We start from the raw sequence: 12,682 nt of genomic DNA, 5'->3' as shown, positions 1-12,682 counted from the left end.
TATCATTTGTTTCATGAATCAAGGCTGTGGCCTGGTTTACTACAAAAGTAATGACATCAGGCTGCATCACCTATTACTTAAAAATGTTAGGTTACACTGGGCCTAAGGAATTTGTGAAGCAAATTCTTTAAAAAACATTTGACAGGCTTTTCTACTAGAATAACTGCTTATGGCTATCCACGTCTAACGTTGGCATAGACCTGAGAAAAAATAGCTTTTACCAATTTTAGAGAGACAGGCTCCAAAGAAGATAGATTACTTAAGATTCTTTGAATAAAGTCTTCTCTCTTGTACACAAATGTCAGAAACTCTAAAAAATGCCAAGATAAATATACATTTAAATGTATTAACAGGTAGCTTCAACCACAATCAAATAGCATATTTATTAAAAAAGGCATAATTTAAAAACAGTAAATATACCTTTTTATACATTACAGAATTAAAGACTTTACCATTTGTAAATATAATCCTGGTAATATACACAGATTTAGGCTTATTCATGTCTTTCAACACATTTGAAAATGTATACACTATTTTCCTTTATAGATAAAACAACTTTATGAGAAATAAATTCACCTTAGTATATTTTATTCTAATGTTCTAAAATACTAACATAGTAATGAGTATTCAATTTTTCCAAAGTTTAATTTCTTATGACTACATAATCATAACATCAATAACAACTCACAGGGAATATCCTTCTAATTTGATTCCCGTGGCTTGAATGACCTATATTTTCTTTTTCTAATGGTTATTCGAAAAGAGGTGGACGTCTTTAAAATTAGGAAACTACTGACCACAGAGTTTACCATATGCATTCACTCCTCCTCCAGGATGTGTGGTCCCTTTGCCCCCAAAACGGTAACTATAACCTCCGTATGGACTACTGCCAAGACTAATCCCTATGGACTTTTGCTTTATCAGGATTCCTGAACTTTAGGTGAAACTAAACTGAAGCATCATTTATTGTGGTTACTTCATGTTGTTCTTAGAAACATGCAATTACCACAAAATAAAAACATATGATAAAAGAAAAGCAGAAAGAACGAAAGGTTCCCTTTTGCACCATGTCTAAAATGACCATCATTCTTTAGAGAATGTCCCTGGTTATCCGGAGTAAATGCTTTTTTTTTTAATTTGTGGGTGAATGCTTTACTCCCCTAGCAACTGCAATAAATGAACGCTCATTTATAAAGTAAGATGACTGGAAAATGGAAGGCATAGAGTAGAAATACTTATTTCTTAAATGTTCCTGGCACTGACAAAAATGGTTGGCTTTTCTGATCCTGATCCAATGACACTGTTGAGGTCTGTTTTATTTTTTTACTACATACTTTGAATTGGTAACAATAATGATAACAGCAGTAATGCCTGATCCCCACCGTAGGCCACGATCGCTGACCTCTTAGAGGTATTCATTGCTACCTCACGGTAATGTGAATCCATTTCTTTTTTCACATAGAAAAGTTAAATTACAACTATCTGGAATAAGTCCACTTTGTAGCCCTAAAGCAGTGCCTTGGTGGGAACAACACTCTGGAGGATTCATACAGGAGCCTGACAACGTATAAACATAGACTGTGAGACTTAGTTCTAAAAACGAAGACCATTATGGTCTAAACACATGTTTAGCTAATGACAAATCACTTTTCCTCAATTCACTATAGCAAGAATTTTCTCATAAATACAGAAATAGTGAAACACCAGGGCATTTAGTCGAACCACACAGCATTATTTCATTTCTAACTACTGCTATCGTTATTGGAATTTGTTGGTACTTACCTTCATGCACTCCAAAACTATCTACTGAATACCTTGAACATAAAACAACAAGATGAAAACATTTCTCCCAAAATTATTCTTCCATAGAGAGGGTCTTTACAAAGACTCTTTCTTCAGGTATCCTCTCCTATTCACTCTATTTTAATAGTCAAAATACTCTTTGGAGATGATACACTGGCCTGAAACAATCTTTATAAAAACTAGTTTTGGGGGCTTTATGGAGGTTACTTGATAGAACAGGCTAAATAAATTAAGTTTTTCAAAAGCGTTTCCCTTAGCCAGGTGTGGTGGCAGGCATCTGTAATCTCAGCTACTGGGGAGACTGAGGCAGGAGAATTGCTTGAAGCCAGTAGGCGGAGGTTGCAGTGAGCCAAGATGGCGCCATTGTACTCCAGCCTGGGCGACAGAGCAGGACTCCATCGCGGGTTAAAAAAAACAAAGGGTTTCCACATATGGATGTTGTTGTAAACAAGCCTTCAAAAAATACTCTTACTGCATTATAATCAGTCACTGGAGATTAAAATATATATATATGCAACTTACAGAAAGAATTTTTTTAAATGCTGGAAGGCATAAATGAGTTCTTGGGGCTGGAGACATTTCCTGAGAGAAAAACAACAGTGCATTCGAAAAGCGCTGCATGTAAACAATTACATGGAATTAAAAATAATTTTCTCTGGAAAATTCATAGGCAATTCTAAATGTGCTTTAGGGATGACAGAACCACTAATGTCAAAGGCACATGTGAAATGTTGACTGTTTTCATAAAATATAAGTAAAAAGAAAAATGTCTTAATTAACATGAGATTACAAACATTTGCAATAATACTAGTGAATATTAAGAGCAATCATCTGAGTACTTCACCTACAAGCCTCAAAAATTGTATCTTCTATTTGGCCCAAAAACCATTTTTGGATCTTCTCACTAGTCAGGATCATCTTATAGGGTAGTCATTTCTATTGCTTCATTTTTGAGCAGGGTGAGGAGAACTTTTTTTTTTTTCAACTAAGTTTATATTTCCTAAAATTTCTGTAATATAATGCGCTGAAAACTAAAGTTCTCTTTTCCAATGGTTGAACTTCCTCAAACTCAGTCTCAGAAATTTAGAGGCTGTACGAATATAGTGAAATTGTTCCTGTCTGAAAGGAAGAAAAAGAGTAGCCCACATTCTAAAAATATGAGATATATATTTTTAAAAACCATGCAATCCTGAATCAATAGATAGAACCATGCTGTAGAATACTCTTTGTATTCATCAATTTACTTGGTAAATAGCATCTGTCATGTAGGCGGCTAAATTGTTAGTCAGCAGAAGGGGGTAATTTGGCAATGAGTGCGGAGTCGCTGTCAGACACTGGCGTGTCTGGATTACTCTACGTGCAGCAGAGCATAATCCAGCACAAAGCATGTCTGCTTTGGCCTCTTTCTAAAAGTTCAAGTTACAGAAGCACCAAGAGAAACTTCCTATAAGACAATGTCAACTGCAAAGTGATCCCAGGGCCTAGGCTCTGGTCATTATTACGATGAGGTGCCAGCCAGATCTGACTTCAAGCTCAGATTTATGAACCATGTGAACCATTCAGCACAGAGAGCAGCAAAAGGCGAGAAGTCGAATCGCTGTCATTTGAGGTTACATAGAAAAGCTTGACCAACAACTTAATTTAACAAATAAAGAAGTCGTGACTCATACTCCACAAATGTTTTTGAAGCTCAATAGATTTGAATATTACTGAATCAGCATAAAATCATTTGAAAGAAATAATTGTGTAAATAGGTGCTTTATGTGAAAGAAATTGCTCAAGTCTGCCTCTTTTTTGCTATGACTCTATTTGAAGGAGCATGACTGTTATAGTCATACTTCTGCTTATTAAGCATTTTGCTTTGCCAGGAGATTGTTTCAAAGCAGGAAATAAATAAAGATAAATTAGAAAATGAAAATGTCCTGTACCTGAGAAATCTGCCGCTAAGAGATCTGCTGCCTTTAAAACCTTCACTTGTAGAATGCCGACGTCTTTCACATCTTTCAGGGAGTTCTGTAAGCACTGAGGGTTGAAAAGGTGATACAAGTGAAAACAGCTTTTTAATATACTACTTAATGTCATAAAGTCCTATAGGAAGTGCATCCTAGATTTATCTTCCTTTTTCTCATGAAATCTTTAAAAAAAAATCCCCAAAAATATATTATATAACAGGACGGTTAGGCACTTATAGCAGCCAGATTAAAAGAAAAGTGACTGAGAATTAGTTAACGACAGCTTTAAAATAAACCAATTAGAAGCACATCGAATCTACTTTTAACATCGCCCCTGGTGATGGCATAGATATCCCACCAGGAAAACGTGTGGGTAGAATTACATTGATGCTCTTTTTCCCCCTTCTTTCTCATTAATGCAACTGTTAAATCACTCTGAAACACAACATTATTCTGACCTAGTTAGTACAAACTTTATGGATTCCAGAGGACTAAACTTGGACCCATCAGAGATACTTATCACCACTCTAAAGAGAGTTGGGGCAGAAACAGTGAATTTTCTGGTCTGTTTTAGCTAGCTCATTGAATTAGAGATTAAGTATCTAGTACCACCCTAGATTCATATTTACTTTAGCCTTGAGTTTGTACCAGCCAAAGTCTGAATGTATCTACTGCTCATTCTTAAGCACATATAGCAATATTTGGGTGTTTATATACATGGCATCCTTAAGAAATTGTGCATGAAAGAGGCCGGCAGATAAACTCTCTTCTCCTGCCTCCAGAACACACCTACTGAAAAAGATACTGCCTCAAAACCTCTGGACATGCTATTTCTGTCATCATTAGATAGCTAAAAACCTGTGATAAACAGACCTCAAGGATTTACGAAAGGCTATTAAAATACTTGCTATTTAGGCATTTCAGGTAGAATAACACAAGCTTAATAACAGTTTGCCTAACTTAATATGCATCATTCCTAAAAACATTTGAAAGTTGTTTCTCCTCTATATTTTCAACCTAAACAAACAAAACAATTAGTTTTTAAACTAAGAGAACGCATTTGAAATGAAATGCTTTTACAATTTAGAAGTGGAAATGCCTTTAAAGAGGATCTGTCCTCATAACTTAAAAAACAAATCCAGGGGGCTGTAACTTGTGCTTTGAAACAGCATTCGTTCCCTCTAATGTGCTGGCTAGCTTGCTAGCTGAAGAAGCACTCACTATTTCTACTTTGACCATAGCCTCTTCAAACCTCTTTTCGATTACTACTCCTCAAATCCTAAAGTATTATTCAAAGCAGGCATTATGATGGTATCTAATGTTCCTTTATAAACACACAAAACTCCTCATGAATTTGGTAAATTTGTCAACTTATCCATTGGAAAGCTTGGGGAAAGGTTTTATTCTTCACCATTAATTTTCATTTGCTTACCTAATCAGAGAGAATGTTAATAGTTGTGTCAAACCTTCTTCACAGTATGCCAGCCTCACATGCGCACTCTGCATTGACAATGAGCTATGTGGCTAGGTCTTGTACTCCCGAAGATACAGAATTATTCAATTAATCAATACATCTACACAGTGAAGGATCCTGGAGACACTAAAGTTTATGCTGAGAATGATAGTGCCATTGAATAGGGATTCATCTTTGCTTCATTTTCATGCCACTTCCCTAAAACGTGCTTTCCCTGTGTGGCACTAAAATAAACATATTGATTTATACAGAAGATAGGATAAAAGCAGAATGCAAATAAAGGCACCTAGAAAGCCAGAGTACAAAAAATAAATGAAGAGGACACAGCCATTTCATTTAAAAATGCTGAGTGGACTGTTAAGCTCATTGCAACTACTTAGGGAGAAATCACACACTGCTCTTATCATCCAGACTAGTTCAGAACAGCGGTTCTTCATGTCCAGCTAGTGTTATTGCTTTACAAGGCATGAGCAGGTTCTCACTTGATCCTAAGAAGTTCTGCAAAGGTATCCATAACATTGCAACCATTAATGGCTGGTAAAGTTATTTGTGAACTCATATTAAAAGTCCTATTTACACACACACACAGCCTAAGCAGGAGTCTGCTTCCCTGGGGATTTCAACATTCCCCAAAGACTTGCTAAACGCTAAAAATTCAGAATCTCTTTTTGCCTTTCAAAATAGCAAAACCAACTCTTAATTCTACTGTCACCTTTTCACTAATGCATTAACCCCTAAGTCTGATGTCTTGTTTTATGACGTACAAGGAAACTTGGGACAAAGATCTCTTTTGATGTAGTTTTTCAATTCAGAGACTTTGTTTCAATAAAGACTTTGTTTTAAAAGAGAAGGTGGGAGGAGGGGGAGTGTACAATAAGGAAAAACACTCACATATCGCTGGGTAATCTGCTTTCTTTCGCTGAGGTCTGCTAAGGGGCAGACACACAGATCAGAGACGGAGACCCCCGCACAGGGTGTAAGTGTGACCAACATAAGGAGAGCCCCCAGACAGCTGTCCAGTGGCAGCTCCAGGCAGTTGGCTTGCTTCAGAGGGAGTGCCGAGATATCCACTTTACACCTAGAAAAGTTTCAGGAATCAAGAGAGAGAAAAGTGATTAATTCAAGGCCACTGCAGTACCTCCAAAGCACCTGGCTTTGATTTCATCATCCCCCAAAACTCACTCTGTCTGGTCTTAGGTTTATTGAGCAGCAAAGGTTGCCCTAATTCATAATGCTCACCCCCAGCCTAACACACTCTAAAATTAAGGAGAGGAAGAGGTCCAGAAAATCAAAAAGAAGGCAGCATCGGCAGATGGAAAATGAAAAGAGAGGAGTGGATCCTTGCCAAATAAGGTCTGCAGAAAGATAAGATCAAAAATTAGAAAGAAAAAGTTTGAAAGTTTAAGCCTTATGAGTAAGCATGCTGTATGGCTTCCGTGGGCTGTGCCTTTTATGAGTAAAGAGAATAAAGGATCATGGCTCAAAACATGAAGGAAAAAAAAAGATAAGAGAAAGGCAAGTGGGAGAGGGTTAATGGAGAAATCGTTTTCTTCCTGATTAATGCCAACTGGCGAATTTTTATTTTAAAAAACACGTTAAGGTGTTTTCCTAATAGGCACAGTGCCACAGGGTTTCCCCAGGTGGGTTTCTTTTGGACAAATGGAGCATGAAGTGCTGTTGATTGATCCCATTTCAGCAGCTCTGCCAGGAAAGGCTGTACCCATCTGCTATAAATTGCATGTTTTCCGCCTCTTAACAGCCAATGTTCTGGGGATGTTGAAAACCTCAAACACATTTAAATACAGAAGCAAACACCAAAAAGGGGGACTGAGGTGCTAAGCCATTTATTTGCCTTAACACTGACAACTCTGGGTTTGCCTGGACCACACCTGCTCTGTTTATGTATGCAGGTGGGTGAAGTAGGTGGGGTTGAGTAAAGTGGGGCATGGTATTCCCAGACGTCATTTTTTTTTACATTCTCCTTTACCCTCCATAATTATAGAATAAGATGAATATTCAAGACTTCAGAAAAGGATGGAAGCACTGCTCCCCAGAGAGAACAATAAGGATAGATTCTTACCCTAAGCTGTCAATGGACTTTGTACATTTGCAGTTAATTACAAATAGGTTAACTTACATACTATATAAAGCAATGGCAATTTTGAGCCACATGGCTATGTGGATGAAAACTTCCACTTTAAGAAATTTAAGAGAAAGCTAGCAATCACTTTTCCAAATAAATATGACATTAAAAGACTCTACTAGACTTTATTACAAGATTTTAAAATATTTTACATACCAATATGTGTCCATATAATTAACTTAACTGGGCATTTATTTCCTATTTATCAAAAGTGACCCCAATTACAGGTGGGAGTGGCCATTAGAGCTTTTGCATGTAATAAATTCATCAAATATTTCTATGGGAGACAAATTACAAAAAAAGTATTTTTAAATAATCCTCTGATTTGAATCAAAACAATTTTTCTGTATCAATAGGGAAGCTTTTAAAGTTAAATTGCATTACTATCTATGAAAATATAGGTTAATAAATATTTTTATTTCATAAGCATGATGTAAGTGGGAAATCAAATTTGCTTGGAAAGAAAGAAATGTCTATTGCCTTAAACCATTTATTTCTAGAAAAGTAGGTCCCCACAAATTCTTGAGCAATATTGCAGTAATATTTCTACTTCGGAATACTTTGCTAAGCATTATTTTACACTGTTATATACACTTTCATTTAGTAAAGCTCTTTCTTATGGAAAGGTAAATAATCCAAATTTGTAGAAGTTTTCTCTGCTAATCACAATGTTACAAATTAACAATAGCCTATTGATGGCACATTCTTTTTAATACCATTAATAATGGCAATTTATTTTTGTCCTTTAAACATCTGCCTTTGGGATGGTGGTTTTGTTGGTTCTTTGAGCAGCCAAAATTTATTTAGATACAAGTGCTCTGACAGCTAATAATGTTTGAAGGTTAAAAATAATATATAAGTAAGTGCTACTAAAATTTTTCTTGGATAATTCAAAATGAACCTGATATTAATTCTAGAGTACTCTAGTAACGCTGTGAGCAGTATTACCATAATTGGAATAACTGTGAAAATTTTCCTAGCGACTGTTTAAGTGCTCAACTTATTGGAACAGAGCAGTTTGTCAATTTTAAGTAAAAGCTGAACCACATACCAGATGAAATGCAAAGTAAATATTGGGTTTCTTCTCAAAATTACACATTTTCACAAGCTTTTCACTCATTTCTGTCTACTGTGAATGTTTTACACTTACGTTATTACAAAAAAATCAGTCCCTTCACTAGAATGAACACTTTCATGAAAAATAGCCATTTGTAGTTTAGATATTAGAGTCCTTTGAGCAACAGGTTGAAGATTTAGGCAGCAGCTTAATGGATTTTACAGTCTTTGATAACTAACGAGTGAATCCAGCCAAATATTTACTTGTACTTTCTCAGTGACTAGAAGGAACAAGTTAAACTGATATATTAGCATCATGATATTAGCATCATATCAATCAAAATTAAAACTTAGTCTTTCTGGACATGGGTTATGACCCAGCCTCTTAGAGGTCCTGACCCACCACATGAACCAGTATGTTCAGAATTAATTTAAAGCTACCATAGTAGGCCCCCTTTAATGATGACTTTTTATAAACATTCTGTAACTCTTCTACCCACCTGGTGTCCCCATTTATTTCCACATTCTGGAAGAAGGAGGAAAGACGGGAGACAGAAAAAATGTATTTCATACAAAACCTTCTTCAGGCCTCATATTTAACCTATTTCAACTCCAGCTCACACTGCTCCAGTTTTGTCATAAAGTTTGAAGGAGAACCAGAAGCTCTGGACATTAGCCAGAGACTGGGAGAATTATTTTCATTAACCCCAACCTAGTAAGAGGTTACTGCATTATCAGAAAAGCAACAGAATTTTTTTTAACAAGAAAGGCTTTTTTCCCTCAAATTGCAAATAATGTTAACCAAAATATTCATCCAACCTCCCAAAAGAGAAATATCAAATGACCAAAATGGCTTTTTGTGTTTTTTTCTTAGGTTCAAAGACAAATGGACTAAAATTTAAAGTCTTTAAGACGTAAACATTCTATAATACATTAATCAAAGACACCTTTAACACGAAAAATCTCAAAAGAAGAATCTAGACTTCTTCTTTTTCATTAGTGTAATGGATTCTTCTTGCAAAAAATACTAAATAATCTGGTTGGGCTCTTATGTCTTTCTAGTCACTGCTGAAGACCAGTAAAATCTTGCTCTTTTCTGTCCTCTCTTTGGCTATGTCTTATGGGTAGGGTACAGGATTAGCCTTTCCCTGTTATGGGCAGGTGTGAGGGGCTAATAATTAAATATTTTTGGTTTGTGGGCCATAAGTTTTCTGTAGCAACTACTAAAATCAGCCCTTGTACCATAAAAGCAGTAACAGACAATGTAAACAAATGAAGGTTTTTTCCCAAAAAAAACCTTTATTTACAAAAACGGGCAGCCATATGGATTTCACCTACAAGCCCTGGTTTGCTGACCCCTGAACTACAGAAATACTTGTAATTTAGTGGTGGTGAATTACACGTCTTTTTTTTTTTAATGTAAATTTTTTTAACTCACGACAGCTCAAGAAACGCTGGTCAAAATATCCAATGATCTGTTAGTTAATAAAAATGGATAAAGCAATAAAACCTATAAAAATTGCTCTCTTCTGTCTGATAGAAACAATATGGAAAACACACACGCAGGGCATCTATATAAGGAATTCAATTAATGAGCATGAACCAATTAGGTCTGTTCCGGTGGCATCACATATGACTTCACACACAAGGAGACTAAATGTCTTTGGACAGTCGTTCAGAAGGTGCAACACACCGAGCCCTTAGGTGACCAGGAAATTTTTATTCCAACATCAGCTTTTTAAAAATGTAATCAATAGGAGCTCCACTGCAACAACAAGATTTACACGATGGAAATCAAAATAGCCAAGTCACTGCTGTGTTAGTGTCTAGGAAGGAACTCCCATAGCTCATCTGCAAGACATGGAATCCAGTGGCTTTGTGCCTTCACCCCTGCCCTCATCTCTAGCCTTATCATGTGACACCACTGATTTTTCCACTCCATCAAGGTTTTCGGAGAGAATGTGCTCTCTCTCCTCTCCAGACCTTTGCCTATGTTTTGCTGTCTTCCTGGAAAGCTCTTCTTCCTGTCTGCTTGTTAATTACCACTATTCCTACAAGTCTCAGCTTAGACCGCTGTTCTTCAAGGAAGCCTCCGCTTCCATTCTAAGCCCAAATTGGTATCCATGATGCCAGGACCTGCAGCCCTCATTCCACCTACTGCCACTGCCTGCTTACTTGTAGTAGCCCGAGGCTCATCAGTGCCCAAGGACAGCAGCCTTTTCTGTATCACTGTCCACTGAATCCTCAAGTACTGTGCCTTCTGCCCAGCATACAATGTGCTCTAGATTTGAAGATTTGAATACACTGAACGCACAAAAGAATGAATGTCAGCGCCGTAACAAAACTCACAAAGTCAAAAACTCCAAATTATACTGTTTTTTCTTGAACTAACTAAATCTTTTGCAGCCTCTGTTTCTTCCCCTATGTAGGAAAGGAATTGAAATAAATGTATTTACTAGGTGCCTCTTAGATTTAAAATGCCATTGTTCTACTCACCTGAAGAAAACAGACTAAATTACTTTTTTTTCCCTTTCCTGCAAAAGGCATATATTAAAGCCAGCCTCTCTAGCCCACAGGCAGTTAATGTGCTGATTTAGCATTGTTTCTGACCTCCCATTCTTGTCTTTCTCCATTAATCCCACAGCGTTTTAATGTTTTAATTCAACACATAATTTTACCATATCAGTCAGACAAACCTGCTCAAGTTTTACTTGCCATGATAGCTTTTAACCTCTTATTCATTACCATAATTCTATGTTTTATATTACAGACTGGTCAGCTTTTAACTCAAAGGCAAGGGGCAGAAAAGAGTGCTAGAGTTTTAAAAGCTGTAAATCTCAGAGGCTAAGGAAGCCAGGGAACAGGAGGAAAATGGTGAATGTGTCAAGCCTGGCTGTAAAAGCAGATCAACGACATGGGGTGCAATTTGTCCAGAGAAATACTCCAGCCCAGATTTTTCGCTGCCTCAGAGCCGCTAATAAACTGGTAGAATGTCAGAGCTGCTTTATACAGCACCATCTGGGACTGAGGAGGGACTCTGAGGCAGGCTAGTCCAAATGGCCTTGTGGGTTCCCATTCTCAACCTTTCCAAACTAAATTAAGTCTAGAAAATTCTATAATGAGTTAATCTGTAGAATCCCCTTGAAATATAAAATATACTTTAAGAAATTGGTATGATTACTTTGAAATGGCTCAAAATGGAATAATCTATATTACTCTATATTCATACTCTTGACATTATGTTTAAAAGTTGGAGCCGGTTAAACTTAGCTTTATGTCTTACTCTTCCCTAAAAGCTCACTGTTTCTATCTAAGATCAGATGCTTTTTTGCTTGTTTTGCCCATGAACAAACACTGGAGTCGGTAGGCAACACAGTTTCAGGCGATGGTTGATCTTACCCAAGCACCTTCATCTCACCAACCCCAGTGTTTTTAGGAGTTACTTGTGGCTCAGGGGGAATCTGCAGGTCGGTGGACTATGGAAAAAGGGGAAGTCAGCAAGTTCCACATGACTCAGGAGAGCCTGGAGGAGGGGCCTACGGGGCAGGTCCATGTTTTAACCATCACCAAGCTAACAACCTACCCATGCCAATGTGATTTCTCTACACATAAGCAACCACTACCCCAGCCTTATCATACCTGGTTATAAAACTTCAGTATTGTTCAGGCTGACCTACACTGCCCAATCCTTCCATCAATGGATGCCCCTCCTACCATGTCCTTGACGATGGTCACTGCCCACTTTTACCAAAAAATATCAAAAAATTCTATGCTGTTTTGGAGGAAAAAAATACATTGAATTTTACTAGTCATATCTTATTTTCTTAAATTGCATAATTTGAGTTGCCAAGTTGTGAGGACCTACAGTTTACGTGCAGAAAAATCTCAAAATTAATAATAAGTAATACCTACCATCAGAGTGCGCAAGGGAATAAACAGTGTCAAGTAGATGTTGTTACTGTTAGCCATGATGACCCTGCCAGTTGGCGAGTGAGCCCATTATACAGATACAGAGCCAGACTCCACAGGGAATCACTGTCCAAGTCCCACAATTAGCAGACAGTGTGATTATCAGCAAGCTCAGGATGTGTGACCCCAGAGCTGATGTTCCTTCCCTCCCACTGAACTGCCTACACAGCTTCCCTGAAGAGAATTTCCCCAGAGAGTCCATCTAGATTTTTAACTGTAATGTTCAATTATGAATATCAAGGTTTTATCCAAAAACAAAGCATGAGACAGGCTTTGGAGAGGAGA

The 12,682-nt window shown here is 37.2% G+C and overlaps 1 protein-coding gene across 28 annotated transcripts in view; it reads right to left on the bottom strand.

Moving 5' to 3' along the window:
• The window catches only part of MCTP2 (multiple C2 and transmembrane domain containing 2), a 252,587-nt gene that overhangs the window by 110,041 nt on the left and 129,864 nt on the right, over nucleotides 1–12,682 (bottom strand). For 27 of the 28 annotated variants that reach the window (NR_169532.1, NR_169529.1, NR_169527.1 and 24 more), the window contains 2 exons: nucleotides 6,121–6,307; nucleotides 3,732–3,825 (listed from right to left, as the gene is read on the bottom strand). Coding sequence is in view for 21 of the 28 variants with exons in the window: in XM_047432839.1 (XP_047288795.1) it covers nucleotides 3,732–3,825; nucleotides 6,121–6,307 (281 nt within the window). In the remaining 7 variants the exon portion in view is untranslated. Of the gene's footprint in view, nucleotides 1–3,731; nucleotides 3,826–5,187; nucleotides 5,454–6,120; nucleotides 6,308–12,682 lie in introns of all 28 variants that reach the window. The other variant, NR_169530.1, reaches the window with a different exon arrangement.

The sequence above is a fragment of the Homo sapiens genome, chromosome 15, assembly GCF_000001405.40.
Source record: "Homo sapiens chromosome 15, GRCh38.p14 Primary Assembly".
NCBI classification, from domain to species: domain Eukaryota; kingdom Metazoa; phylum Chordata; class Mammalia; order Primates; family Hominidae; genus Homo; species Homo sapiens.
Note: the sequence above shows the minus strand (reverse complement) of the source record. Positions and strands in the feature narration are given on the sequence as shown.